The sequence below is a fragment of the Homo sapiens genome, chromosome 6 (assembly GCF_000001405.40).
Source record: "Homo sapiens chromosome 6, GRCh38.p14 Primary Assembly".
In the NCBI taxonomy this organism is placed as follows: Eukaryota; Metazoa; Chordata; class Mammalia; order Primates; family Hominidae; genus Homo; species Homo sapiens.
In genome coordinates, this window is record NC_000006.12 from 151,540,045 (window position 1) to 151,555,391 (window position 15,347).

At 40.7% G+C, this 15,347-nt stretch overlaps 1 protein-coding gene across 4 annotated transcripts in view; it reads left to right on the forward strand.

Moving 5' to 3' along the window:
- CCDC170 (coiled-coil domain containing 170) overlaps positions 1–15,347 on the forward strand; it is a 127,177-nt gene that overhangs the window by 46,028 nt on the left and 65,802 nt on the right. For all 4 annotated transcript variants that reach the window (NM_025059.4, XM_047419372.1, XM_011536148.3 and 1 more), the window contains exons 4-5: positions 4,528–4,672; positions 8,260–8,445. In NM_025059.4, the coding sequence (NP_079335.2) occupies positions 4,528–4,672; positions 8,260–8,445 (331 nt within the window). The remainder of the gene's footprint in view (positions 1–4,527; positions 4,673–8,259; positions 8,446–15,347) is intronic.

Consider the following 15,347-nt stretch of genomic DNA (forward strand, 5'->3'; position numbering starts at 1 on the left):
GTATTGTAATATGTATCTGTAACAGCAGCATCCCACTCCTGGTACTAATTTCTGTCTTAGTTGGTTTGGGCTGCTATAAGAAAAATACCATATACTGGGTGGCTTAAATGACAGAAATTTATTCCTTGTAGTTGTGGAGGCTGGGAAGGCCAAGATCAAGATGTTGGCCTATTCAGTTCCTGGTGAGGGTCCTCTTTCTGGTTTGTAGATGAATGCCTTCTTGCTGTATCCTCACACGGCAGAGAAAGAGATCACCTCTCCATGTTTCTCCTCCTCCTCCTCCTCTTCCTTCCTCTTCCTCCTCCTCCTCCTCCTTCTTCTGCTGCTGCTTTTTTTTTTTTTTTTTTTTTTTTTTTTTGTGACAGAGTGTTGCTCTGTTGCCCAGGCTGGAATGCAGTGGGTGTGATCTTGGCTCACTGCAACCTCCGCCTCCTGGGTTCAAGCAATTCTTGTGACTCAGCCTCCCAAGTAGCTGGGATTATAGGTGTGCATCACCATGCCCAGTTAATATTTTGTATTTTTAGTAGAGATGGAGTTTCACCATGTTGGCCAGGGTGGTCTCAGACTCCTGGCTTCAAGTGATCTGTCTGCCTCAGCCTCCCAAAGGGCTGGGATTATAGGGATAAGCCACCACACCCAGCCAGTGTCCCTTCTTATAAGGGCACTAATCTCATTCACGAGGTCTCCTCTCTTATGACCTAATTACCTCCCAAAGGCCCAACCTCCAAATATTATACCATCATATTGGGAATTAGGACTTCAACATATGAATTCTCAGAGGACAGAAATATTTGGTTCATAGGAGTGGTTTTCCTGCCTCTGACTGTGCCCCCTGCAGCCAGAATGATCCTGTTAAAACACAAATTAGATCATGTCAATTCTTAGCACAGAGTCCTCCAGTGACTTCTGTTCTCATTCAGGGTAAAGACAGTGTTTTCTATGAGCCAAAAGGCTCATCCTGACCTGGTTTTGCTACCATTCTCCCCCTTATTCTTTCTATTCCAGATCTCTGGCTTCTTTGCTGTCCCTTGAACCTGACAGACCTGATTGTACCTCAGGACCTTTGCAATTGTTAATTTCTTTTCCTGGAAGGCTCTTCCCCCAGATATCACATGGCTGCCTCCATTTCCTTTAAGTCTTCATTCAGATGGCACTTTCCAAGTGAGATGTTCCATGAATAACATATCTAAAAATTTACTCCTCTAATATCTCTTGCCCCTCTTTCCTTCCTGCTTAATTTTTTCTCTCTAGTCCTATTATGATGTACTATACATTTTACACATATTAATATTTTGATTATTGTCCATCTTTCCAAATAGAACATAAGCTCCATGAGGTCAATAATTTGTTTTTCAGAGATGGGGATCTCACTATCTTGTCCAGGCTGGCCTAAAATTCCTGGGTTCAAGTGATCCTCTCACCTCAGCCTCCCTAGTAGCTGGGACTACAGGTGCACACCACTGCGCCTGGCTGGATTTGTATCTCTTTTGTTTACTGTTGTATCTTTAGCACCTTTAATGGGGCTTGGTGTATGATGGGTACTCAATAAGTATTTATTAAATAAATGAGTAATAAAAACACTATATGCATATTGTAAAAAATATTTTTTATACAGAAAAGTGCCAAGAAGAAATTAATAATTACTTAAAACCTCATGATTATAGAAAAGCTATAATTAATATTAATATTTTATTGAACAGATTTTTCAGAAAATCATATACAAATGACTTTAGGTAGTGTACTATTTTTACTGAATCATATGTTCTAAATATATATATGTATATATATAAATATAAGTATATATAAAAAATATAAATATAAATATATATATATATATATATATTTTTTTTTTTAAGACAGAGTCTTGCTTTGTCACCCAGGCTGGAGTGCAGTGACATGACCTTGGCTCACTGCAGCCTCCACCTCTTAGGTTCAAGCAGTTCTCATGCCTCAGCCTCTTGAGTAGCTGGGATTACAGGCATGTGCCACCACACCCAGCTAATTTTTGTAGTTTTAGTAGAGACGGGGTTTTGCCATGTTGGCCAGACTGGTCTCGAGCTCCTGACCTCAAGTGATCTGCCTGCCTTGGTGTCCCAAAGTGTTAGGATTATAGAAGTGAGCCACTGTACCTGGCCATATGTTATAAATATTTTAAAAACTCATTTAGTATATAATTTTATTTATTTACTTATTTAAGACAGGTTTTCACTCTGCCACCCAGGCTGGAGTGCAGTGGCACAATTATGGCTCACTGCAGCTTTGACCTCCTAGGCTCAAGCAATCCTCCCACCTTAGCCTCTTTTGTAGCTGAGACCACAGGTGCATGCCACTACACCCAGCTGATTTTTAAATTTTTTTGTAGAGATGGCGTCTTGCCATGTTGCCCAGGTTGGTCTTGAATCCCTGGCCTCAAGCAATCCTCCCACCTTGGCCTTCCAAAGAGCTGGGATTACAGGCGTGAGCCACTGTGCCAAGCCTAGTACATAATTTTAAATGGCCCATTGTATTCCATTGCTTGAAATACCATAATGTACTCAATCACTTTGGCTATTTCTACAGGCTCTTAGGTTAGTTCCACTAAAAAAATTACTATAAACCAAGTTGCAGTGAATATCTATGTGATTCATATTTTTAAATTTCTGTGATTATTTTCTTAGGGTAGATTCCTGAAACTTTGTTGGGTCAAGTGAATTGCAAATAGAAATGGAAGTAGTTTAGAGACCTTTGGAATGGAGAAGAAAGATTGAAATCTTGGGGTTAATGTATGGAATCCTATATGTATATCAATCAGCACCATACAATTAATTATGCCTTTCCTGGGTCCAAAAGACTGAAGAGTTTTACCTTTCATATGCTAAAATAAGAACTCAGAAATATAGTGAAGTTAGTCTTTTATCGTTACACATTTTTCTAAATAGAAATCTGATATGCTTTGAGTATCTGCAATTACATGCTTTGTTAATCTTTGAATAGCGTGAAGGAATTTGCAGTAAACACTCAACATGGTAAAAAGGAAAAGCAATAATCATGTTTATTATCTTGGATATTTAAAAAATGACACTAAATTACTGAAATGATTCTAATTTGCCTTTAAAGTATGCCTATTTTTGACAATCTCTTAGTTGCTAACATTTAAAGCATTAGAAATAGGCCATACTATTTCAACAAACCTATCTGAGATTTGAAACAATATATTCATAATGGACCATAAATTTCCTTTTTCCTTGACTGGCCAATTCTAGTACTTTCCTAATGCTCTTTTTTTCCTTTTATTTTTAGTTGACTTATAATAATTGTACATATTTATGGGATATGGAGTGATATTTTGATACATGTATACAATGTATAATGATCAAATCAGGGAAATTAGTAAATCCATCATCTTGAATATTTATCTTTTTTTGTGTGTGAACATTCAAAATCCTCTCTGCTAGCTATTTGGAAACTAAATTCTTGTTAACTGTATTCACCCTACTGTGCTACAGAACACTAGAACTTACCCCTGCCATCTAGCTTTATAACTTTATAACTATCTTTATAAGTTTATAGCCATTGACTCACCTCCCTGTATCCTCCTTCATCCGCTACCCTTTCCAGCCTCTAATAATCAAAATTCTACTCTGCTTCTACGAGTTCAATTTTTTGTAGCTTCCACATATGAGTGAAAACATGAGGTAATTATCTTTCTGTACTTGACTTATTTTGCTTAACATAATATCCTCCAGGTTCATCCATATTGCCACTCCTGACAGGATTTCACTCTTTTAAAAGGCTGAGTAGTATTCCGATGTGTATATATCATATTTTTTTTCCCATTCACTCACTGATGGGCACTTATGTTGATTCCCTATCTTTGCTATTATGAATAGAACTGCAGTAAACATGGGGGTTCAGACATCTCTTCGATATACTGATTTTCTTTCCTTTCTTCCAATACACTTTAAAGACTGAGGGAGTGTGAAAACTAATAATGAACTTTGCTGGTGATTGAACACATCTCCTTTCCAGAGGCAAGAACCTTCTGTGCTTTTGATGTATTTGATATTATAGTTATGCCTGGCCATGAACCAGGACCCTTATAAATCACTGTATTGTAAAGTTTGAAAATAAAATGAAGCTTGGTTCTCTAGAACCAATGTGGTAGCACTCTCCTTCCCCATGAGGCCCCAATGAAGACCCATGGCTATGTGGATTGTGTGTGCTCTAGACACGTGCCTCCATTTTTAGAGATCCTAAAGGGTTGAGGCTAGGGGAATTCATTTCCCCTCCTGTTACTAAGTCCACAATGCCTTGAAGATTTCCTTATATTTCTGCAAAGCACAGGTGTCCCAAAATTGCTGCCACTTTTCTCCTTCCTTTATAGGGCTTTATAGGGCTTCTGTGACAATAATTTGCTCTGTGTCTGGGAAACTGTGTTGTGTTGAAAATGACAATTATTTCCCCCATAGAGCTTATATTCTGACTTGGTTTGATGAATGTTATCTTCCATGGTGTTAAATTCTGACTTATTTGTTATTTGCCTAACAGAAAGTGTTCAAAAGAAAATGAGGAGAATAAGAAACAAGTTTCAAAGAATTGCAGGAAACATGAGGAATTTCTGACTCAACTGCGTGACTGCTTGGATCCAGATGAGAGGAATGACAAGGCATCAGATGAAGATTTAATTTTAAAGGTGTCTGTATGCAGATTAAAAAGTCTATAAATGTAGTGGTGATTCTGACATGTGGCATGAAAGGAAGTGCTGTGGTTGAGTTTGGGGGTGGCAGGAGAATGGCACAGTAGACCAAGTGTAGTATTAATTAACTGTATGACTTGGGACAAGTCACGTCACCTGCCTGAGCCTCAATTCCAAGATCTTTTCTAGCATTATTGGAATTAATTATTCTCCAAAAGAGATTAATGGCTTTGTCTAAAATATATTTAGGTTGTCATATAGAGTTAATTACTCATTGTAACCATTTGCTTTAGGGAGTTTTTTTCCTTTTAGTTACAGCCAGACATATACTCACACAAGCAGCTGCATGTCATTTTTAGGATACTGATTGAGTGTGAGATCTAAAGTACTTTAAAAATTTACATTAAAACCAAATAGTGGCTGGGCGCGGTGACTCACGCCTGTAATCCCAGCACTTTGGGAGGCTCAGGCGGGCAGATCACCTGAGGTCAGGGGTTTGAGACCAGCCTGGCCAACATGGAGAAACCCCGTCTCTACTAAAATACAAAAATTAGCCAGGCGTGGTGGCAGGTGCCTGTAATCCCAGCTAATTGGAAGGCTGAGACAGGAGAATCACTTGAACCAGGAGGCGGAGGTTGCAGTGAGATCAAGCCACTGCACTCCACCTGGGCCACAGAGTGAGACTCTGTCTCAAAAAATAAACAAAACAAAACAAAATAGCAAAAATTCTACTTTAATGGTAGATTACCATTAAGTCAGAAATAAATAATAATAACTGAATAATTCACTTGGCCCATAGTGCTTCATTAGGGTACCTGAAAGTATTTGGTTCTCTTTGGCTATTTACAAACCTTTCATATCCTTGCTTCCTGACAGATTTCCATACAGCCGTTTGTTGTTGTTTTTTTTTTTTGTTTGTTTGTTTTAAATTTAGAGACAAGATCTTGCTCTGTCATCCAGGCTGGAGTACAGTGATATGATCCTAGTTTACTGTGGCCTTGACTTCTTGGGCTCAAGTGATCCTCCCGCCTCAGCCTCCTAAGTAATTGAGACTACAGGCATGCACCACCATGTCTGGCTAATTATTTTATTTATGTAGAGATGAGGTCTTCCTATGTTGTCCAGGCTGGTCTTGAACTCCTTGCCTCAAGCAATTACCCCACCTCTGCCTCCTGAAGTGCTGTGAGTACAGTTGTGGGCCACCATGCCCAGCACCCATGCATCATTTTTTTTTTTTAAATGGAGATGAGGTCTCACTATATTGCCCGGGCTAGTCTCTAACTCCTGGGCTCAAGCGGTTCTCCCACCTTGGCCTTCCAAAGTGCTGGGATTACAGGCGTGAGCCATCACGTCTGGCCTATCATGCAGCCATTTTTGAAAACCACCTCTCAGGTGTCTACTAGTGAGCTTCCCAAATGTCCTCTCTGAAAGCCGCAAGATGACTTCATTCGACTTTGGGAAGTATTCCACTTCACGGATGGGTTTTGATAGCTGGGACCATGGGTCCACCTGATGCTCTCATGGGTGCTGGATGCCTCTCCTCCTCCCTATGGCTAACTTGTGACCAGGAACTCAGCTGTAAAAGTCCACTTGTAGTTTGAGAATTATCTTTCAAACCAAATGATGGGGACAAGAAAAGGGAATTCAGAAGCTGCTTCTTCCGTGACACACTTTTCTCTATCGGACACAATCTCCAGGTGCTAATCAGGGTGTTTCTACTACATTTATCATGTCCTTGTCTTTTCTGTATTTCTAATGCTTTGACTTCCGGGGTCTTGCTGAGCCGGGAGAGCCTGCCCTTCCCAGCAGAGCTTTCACGTGTGAACTGACCAATCCAGAGCCCACTCCCCAGCCACCTCCTACAACTGGCTGTTACCTGCAGATTACTGCCCCTTGCCCTAAGCCCCCCAGACAGCTCGGGTCAGCCCCTACACCCCAAGAGCCACTGAAATCATTCAATAGCCAACCCTAAGTCTGCTTACTCTGCTTTGCTTATTCCTTCCTGTGGAGGCGACAATAAAGCCTCTCGCCCGCTTTTCTCCCCACTTCTTCTGCCTCCTGACTGGCCCTGGTGCTTCCCCATTGCCCTGTGTAGTGTGGTGGGTTCCTGCCACTTGGGAACAATGAATAAGAAACCATCTTTTTGATGGCAATTTCCTCCTGGGATTTGTTGGCCTCAGCTTACCTGAACAGTAATGGAATCTATATTTCACGACACAGGGTAGGAATCTGGAGCTTTGGCATCTCGGCCACGTGAGCAGGTGCCTGTCTTAAGAAGAAAAAAAAAAAAAATTGGCCCAGATCAGGAAGTCTGCTGTCTTGACCAAGACTTCAGCCTCATTAGGTGTTCCTCCAAGAACAAAATGGCTCTGGTTTCAAAACTGTTCCTTCGCTTTCACACGCCCTCATAAACACGTGTGCACACGCATTCGCAAGGAACCATGCATTCCTAACAATTAGACATTCATTCCTTCATTTCACAAATATTTAGTGAGTGCTTACTATATGCTAGACACTGTTCTGAGTGCTGGAGAGATAGCAGTGAATGAGACAAGACTATGTCTATGCTCGCCTAGAGATTTCATTTTCAAAGGGTAAGGATAGTGAAGAAATAACCAAATAAATATCTACGATTGCTCCACATGGTGAAAGGTGCAATACAGAAAAACAAATCAGGATGCAGGGATAGAGAGGGAAGCAAGTCACAGGTGTTGGACACTGTCTGAAGAGCGCCCCCGTGAGGTCGGGAGTTTTGAGGGCCATTGAGGAGAGAGATCATGCAAATGTGAGGAAGAGTGTTGGAGAGAGAGGGAACAGCATGAGTTGGGAGTGGGGCACCATGTTTTCAGAGCATTGAGGCTCAAAGGTATATCACTTCCACGGAGAGTCTCAACACAAATGCTGGCCCTGTCCTGAGGGGTCTCAAGTCACCCTACAGGCCTCCCCCTGGCCCTACAGAGTGAAATTGTCTGTATGGCTCGTTCCCTGAGGTCAAGGAGCCTGCTGGCTTTTATTTTCCCCTTGTAAATCTTATAAATGCTCCCAGTTAACCATTCCAATGCACAACATAGTGAGCAAAAGCCCTGCTAATCTCAATTCCCTATGATAAACACTGAGCTGTTATTCAGAATTTTCCTATGCTTATATTACATAGAAGAATATTTTTTTAAAAAGCATGGCCGTGTGTTCTCTGTATTTCCTCCAGTGCCACATGGTGACTTGACTGCAGAAGGTCTGAGTGGACATGGGCTGAAGGCAAGTCCCTTGCTTCATCGCCTACTGTAGCCTCTGTAGAGCTTCACCTTACCTGATGTATTTAGCAGGTTTGCTGATGTGTGTTCCGTCGGGACACTTTTGGCTTCATTATCCTTGCCTTGTGGCCACCTTTTGGATAATTTGAATTTGACCCCCAGGTCTAAAACAGAGTTTACAGGCTGCCTTTGAAAATGTGACCTTTCCAGTCCATGTAGGGATAGTGCTCTTACATTTTTCATATGATAATGCAGTCTATAGATGTGACTTGCTTAGAGAAAATGATGAAATTGTTAATTTTTATAGGACAGCTGTAATTGCTTTCTCTTCAGCTTAGAGACCTGCGCAAAGAAAATGAATTCGTGAAAGGACAAATTGTTATTCTTGAAGAGACTATAAATGTCCATGAGATGGAAGCAAAAGCTAGCAGAGAAACGATCATGAGGCTGGCTTCAGAAGTCAACAGAGAGCAGAAAAAAGCTGCCTCCTGTACTGAAGAGAAAGAGAAGCTGAACCAGGTATGATATGTGAAGTATACGTGTGCATCTGGGACCATGTTGAAGAAGCAGAAATGGAAGAGATGGATGTCAGATAAGTGCCCTAGAACTACTGATTACGATTTTTTTTATTGATCACAATTTTAAGAGCCTGCACTCAGCAGGAGGGTTGGGGGTGACATGGGACAAAGTGACTTGAACAGGCCATTGGCTATATATGTACATTTAAAAATTTTTTAATTTAAATTTTAATTAATTAATTAATTTTTGAGAAGGAGTCTCACTCTGTCACCCAGACTGGAGTGCAGTGGCACGATCCTGACTCACTGCAACTTCCGCCTCCCTGGTTCAAGCAATTCTCCTGCCTCAGCCACCCAAGTAGCTGGGACTACAGGCACCCACCACCATGCCCAGCTAGTTTTTTTGTTTGTTTGTTTGTTTTTTTTGTTTTGGACGGAGTCTCACTCTGTCACCCATGCTGGAGTGCAGTGGTGCTATCTTGGCTTGCTGAAGCTCCGCCACCCTGGTTCACACCATTCTCTCACCTCAGCCTCCCGAGTAGCTGGGACTACAGGGGCCCACCACCACACCCGGCTAATTTTGTTTTTTTGTATTTTTAGTAGAGATGGGGTTTCACCGTGTTAGTCAGGATGGTCTCAATCTCCTGACCTCGTGATCTGCCCGCCTCAGCCTCCCAGAGTGGTAGAATTACAGGCGTGAGCCACCACGGCCGGTCTAATTTTTGTTTAATAGAGACAGGGTTTCACCATGTTAGCCAGGCTGGTCTCGACTCCTGGCCTCAAGTGATCTGCCCACCTTGACCTCCCAAAGTGCTGGAATTACAGGTGTGAGCCACTGTGCCTGGCCACATTTTTTTAAATAATGGAAAAAAGGAATACAAAACACTTAAAATTAAAGAATTTGTAGAGAAGATGTCTTACTTTAGTTAAATTATAGGATCTTAAAAAGTTTAAATTTAATATATTTGAACAAATAGGTAATATATTTACAAGAAACAAAATTCTAAATGTACAGGAGTATATGGTGAAACATGTTCCCCATACCCCTCTCCCCAGCCACCCAGTTCTCTTCAGAGGCAACCTTTCTGTTAACAATTTCTTTCTTTAAAAAATTTATTTGTAGAGACGGGGTCTCACTATGTTGCCCAGGCTGGTCCTAAACTCCTGGCCTCAAGTGATCCTCCCACTTGGGACTTCCAAAATGCTGGGATTACAGGCATGAGCCATTGAGCCCTGCCCCAGTGATTTCTTATATACTCTTCTGGAAATATTTTACACACATATATACATATTCTTTTAATTTCTTTTTAACACAAATGTTGACACACTCTGCACACTATATGTTTCTCTTTTTATTTATTTTTTAACACAAGTGGCAATATACTATACATTATTGTCAATACAGCTATTATGAGTAATCTTATATCATTCTTCATGTGGGAGGATATATCAGTAAGACAAAATCCAAGAAGTAGACTCGCTGGGCCAAAGGACATGGACCTTGTAATTCTGACAGATATTGCCAAAGGGAAGTGACTGAATTGTAAACTTTTATTTACACAATGAATTGGCTGATCTTTTCAAATGGTCTGCAACCTATTTGAGCTATTTAATACCATATGTATTTTTTAACATTGTATAATCCCTTAACTATAATTTTGTGATAAAGAAATTTATTATGGGATTAATAATAATGATCCATTTCCAAAAGCAAAAACGAGCTTATACAATCAGTTAATAAAAGTACATAGGAAAAAAGTGAATGGCAGTGGCCCAGCAGATGGAATTTAAGATCAGCTAAGGACTGATGCTGATAAAGGGAGCCTCCTTGTGGGTGAAGGGCTAGTGGTGGCCCACAGGCTGAGGAGGGGCCTGGGGAATTGGTGGGTGCAGGAGAAGGAGTTGCCTTTTCAGGAATTTCTTTTGGGCCTTTTCTGTCTAGTGACAGCCACACTGAGGTGAGAAGGGAAGTTGGAAAGCACAGTCATGATGATAATTTCTATTTTCAATTAATTCCCTGCATCAAAAGGCCCTTCGCACCACTAGCTTTATTCTCCTGACACATTAACTCTGTGGAAAGTGCAAAGTTTATTATTGTTGTCAATGCCCTCATTGTCAGCTTGGGCTGCCATAATACAGTACCATAGACTGGGTGGTTTAAACAACATAAATGTATTTCTCACAAATCTGGAGGCCGGGAAATCCAAGATCAGAACCAACATGGTCAGGTTCTGGTGAGGGCCCTCATCCTGCATGTAGATGGCTGCCTTCTCCCTGTGTCCTCACATGTCACAGAGAGAGCAAGCAAGCTAAGTGCTATGATGTCTTTCCTTCTAAGGGCACTAATCCCATCGTGAGGTCCCCACCCTCAAAACTTCATCTGAACCTAATCATCTCCCAAAGGCCCCACCCACAAATACCATCACATTGGGGGTTAGGACTTCAAAGTATGAATTTTGGGGAAGATACAAATCAGTCCATAGTATTAGGTTGGTGCAAAAGTAATTGCGGTTTTTGCAATTACTTTTAATGGCATCAACCTAATAACTTACCATTATTTTTCACCAACATTGTCTTTTAAAAAATTTCAAATATATAGAAAGAGTGAAGGAATATGACAATGATCACCCACCCACCATCCACCCAGATGCAACAATGGTTAGCATTTTGTTTTATTTGCTTTATTATTTTACATAATATGTATTTGTTATTGTTTATTTATTGTTACATAAACATAGATATATTTGCAGAATCACTTGAAAATAAGTTGCAGACTTCATAAGTATTGCCTCTAACTATGTCAGCATATTTATCCTGAGAATAAGGACATTGCCCTATGTAACCACAATACCACTGCTGCATCTGAAAGTTAACTATAATGCCGGATACCATCTGTGGTGGTTTTCAAGCACATACATTTTTTTATATGCTTCCTCTTGAGCACGGTCTGGACTTAGTGATTCCCTTCTAGTGAATAGAATATGTCAGAAATGATGGATATCACTTTTGATATTAGGTTATAAAAAGGCTGTGGCTTCTGTCTTAAATACACTCTATTGATCTCTCTGGAGTCACTTGCTCTTGAGGGAAGCCAGGGGCCATGGTGTGAGGTAGGTCTAGGGAGAGGGAAGTCAGCTACCATGTGGTGAAGACACTTAGCCTCCTCTCGGGAGGCCCACGTGGTAAGGACCTGAGGCCTGTCAGCTACCATGTGAGTGAGCCCAGCAGGGAATCGTCCCCTGGTCAATCCTGGGGAGGACTGCAGCCCTGCTCAACAGGTTGGCCCTAACCTTAGGAGAGCCCCTGAGCCAGAACCACCACCAGCAAAGTCGTGCTGAGATTCCTGACCCATAGAAACTGTGAGATAATCAGTGTTTGTTGTTTTAAGCCACCAAGTTTGGCTTAGCTAATAATAATCTAGTATCATTTCACATTCACATTTCACCCCTTGCTACAAGAATGTCTTTTACAGCAGTTTTCTTCCCCAAATTTGGAACCTACCTAGGTTAATTCACTGCATTTGTTGATTAGTGTCAGGTTTTTTTTTTTTTTTTTGGTTGTTGTTGTTTTAAATAGCATTGACATGTTGGAGAGTCCAGAGCAGTGGCCTGATTTTTTCTTCACTGTGTGGTTTAACTTGTTTCTCTATATCCTGTAAACTTAAAAGTTGGATCTAGAGGCTGGATTGGATTCAGGTTAAGGCTTTTGGCAAGAATATTATGTATTATATTTCACATTGCATTCTATTAGAAGGCAAATAATGTTAGAGTGTTCCACTGCTGGTGACGATAAGTTTGACTACGAATCTCTTTGGCGTAAGGGTACATTTTTTTCTCTTCTGCAGTTAAGTTTCTATGGGGTGATCATTATCAGGTTATTCCTGTTCCCTCTGACTTTACCTAGTGATGTTAGCATACGCCGATTCTTGTCTGGATTAACTATTACATCATGGGTGGCAAAGTGGTGATATTCTAATTTCGTCATTCCTCCCATCTATTAGGCAGTAGTCTTCTCTAAAGAAAAGCTTTCTTTATTTTCTTTCCTTTTGTTTTCAATTCTATGGACACATGGGTTTTTATTTATTTACTGTGTTATAATCAATTATTCTCTTTCAGTGCTCCAAATTCTCCAAATTTGTCCGGCAGAAGCTCCTTCAGGATGTACCCTGTGACCTTGTAGCATGAGTCCTTTAGTCTCTCAAGTCTTCCTCGATCTCTGGCTGAAGAAGTCATCACAGGCTTTCTTGCAATATTCAGGCCACTGAACTAAAACCAGCCAAATCAGCCAATTCTTTTTTTTTTTTTTTTTTTTTTTTTTTTGAGACAGAGTCTTTCTGTCTCCAGGCTGGAGTCCAGTGGCATGATCTCAGCTCACTGCAACCTCTGCCTTCCAGGTTCAAGTGATTCTCCTGCCTCAGCCTCCCTAGTAGCTGGGATTACAGGCACGTGCCACTATGCTTGGCTAATTTTTTGTATTTTTAGTAGAGAGAGGTTTCACCATGTTGGCCAGGCTGGTCTCGAACTCCTGACTTCAAGTGATCCACCCACATCGGCCTCCCAAAGTGCTGGGATTACAGGCATGAGCCACTGCGCCTGGCCTACCAGCCAATTCTTTAAAGAGCTTTGGTTCCTAAGACTGGTGAATGGTGCTTAGAAACCAAAATTGATGATTTATAAATGCTCATTTATTGAATACTTACCATTAGCCCAGTCATTGTGCTAATGATCAGAGAGGTTATTCACTTTGCTCAAGTTCACACAGCTATTAAATGGCAAAGCTAGGATTTGAACCCATATCATTACATTATTGTACCTTCAGCAATAATCCTCTTTCCATATATATTCACAGTTACATCCTACATACAAGTCTGATGCCAGAAACTATTTATTAGTCAGTGGAACAACAATAATAAATAGCCATACAAATGTCCTCAGTGAGTAATTTTAATTCAATTATAACTAGTAGTTATTAAATTATCAAGATTTGAATATTAGGGGGAGAGGAGGGGTTAAAAAAGACTTGACTATTAGGAAGAATTTAATATTTATTTATAAAAATGCATCTCTAGAGATCAGTAGTAGGAAACGAGTAAGGAAATGTGTTGTAATAGCACATTCAAAAACCAGAACTTATTCCTCTTCTTATATAAGTGTCTTCACTTGTAATGACTGATGCAATGTTGTTCAGACTTTGGAAACACATTCACTTTGGGATGAAGTTCCTGCCAAAATCATAAAAATTGTAAAAAAAAAAATTATATGGGCAATAAAAAAACTTGAGGTCTTTAATAAAGTACTTTATTCATAGGATTGTGCCTCCCGAAGATTTACTACTTAAAAATACCATCAGGTGGTTTTACTGACACATTAACAGACTCAGGAAGAGTCTTCATAATGCTTTCTAAAGCTCTATTTTTGAGGTAGGAAACTTACTTTATTAGTGAGGTCCAGAAGGACTGCAGAAGTAGAAGTAGCCACAGGACTAGGGTGTGGTTTCTACATAACTCAGCTTTTCTGATCTGCTTGAAGACTCTACTTCAGTTCCTTCAAGAAAATTTCGCAAATAAAAATCCAAGTGATTTGTCATATATATGATAAATATATTACTTAAAAATATTTTAGTAGTTCATATTGAAGTATGTCTTAAAAACTACCAAAAGTTGGTACTTGGTACTTTTTCCCTTGGTTTTCTTGAAATAACCTACTGAGGAATAACCTATTTGAGGAAAGTAGTCATTTTGCCTGGGCAAGCCACACACCCATTTCCTATGAATTACAGAAGTTAAAATCAATGAGATCAGAAACTAAACTTCCATGTTGCATTTAATTCTACTAGCAAGAATTAAAGCTAGGAAATAAAGTGGTGTTAGAGTCAGGCAGGCCTGGATTTGCAATGATGTCAGTTCTGCCTTTTTTGTTAGCTTACAGTGGAGTATGTAAGAGAGACACTGCACAGGCCAGGTGCAGTGGCTCAAGCTTGTAATCCTAGCACTTTGGGAGGCCAAGGCAAGCGGATAACTTGAGGTCAGGAGTTTGAGACCAGCCTGACCAACACGGCAAAACCCCATCTCTACTAAAAATACAAAAATTAGCCAAGCGTGTGGTGGGCACCTGTAATCCCAGCTACTCGGGAGGCTGAGGTAGAAGAATCGCTTGAACCTGGGAGGCAGAGGTTGCAGTGAGCTGAGATGGCACCACTGCACTCCAGTCTGGGCGACAAAGCTGGACTCTGTCTCAAAAAAAAGAGAGAGCAAGACAGAGAGACACTGCGCAGAGCGGTTAAGAAGCTAGGCTCTTTAATTAGGCTGCTTGGGTTTTTATCCTGGCTCCAGAATCATTCGGCTATGTGATTGCAGGCACGTAGCTTGATCTTTTTGGACCTCAGTTTTTTTTTTTTTTTTTTTTTTGTGAGACAGAGTCTCGCTCTATTGCCCAGGCTGGAGTGCAGTGGTGTGACCTCGGCTCACTGTAACCTCTGCCTCCTGGGTTCAAATGATTCTCCTGCCTCAGCCTCCCGAGTAGCTGGGACTACAGGCACCTACTACCACGCCCAGCTAATTTTTGTATTGTTAGTAGAGATGGGGTTTCAATTCACTATGTTGGCCAGGCTGGTCTCGAACTCCTGACCTCGTGGTCCACCTGCCTCGGCCTCCCAAAGTGCTGGGATTACAGATGTGAGCCACCGTGCCCAGCCTGGACCTCAGTTTTTAAAATCTGTAAAATGGGAAAATAAGGCTCTCTTACTATTACGTTAGAATTAAATGGTAAAATATACATAAAATACTTAGGACGTGTCTGGCACACAATTGGTGTTCAGTGTTTTCATTTCCTTTTCCTAGTTATTTACTTTTACCTGGGGATAAGATAAACATGAGATTAATTTATAGTCATATGGAAATAGTTC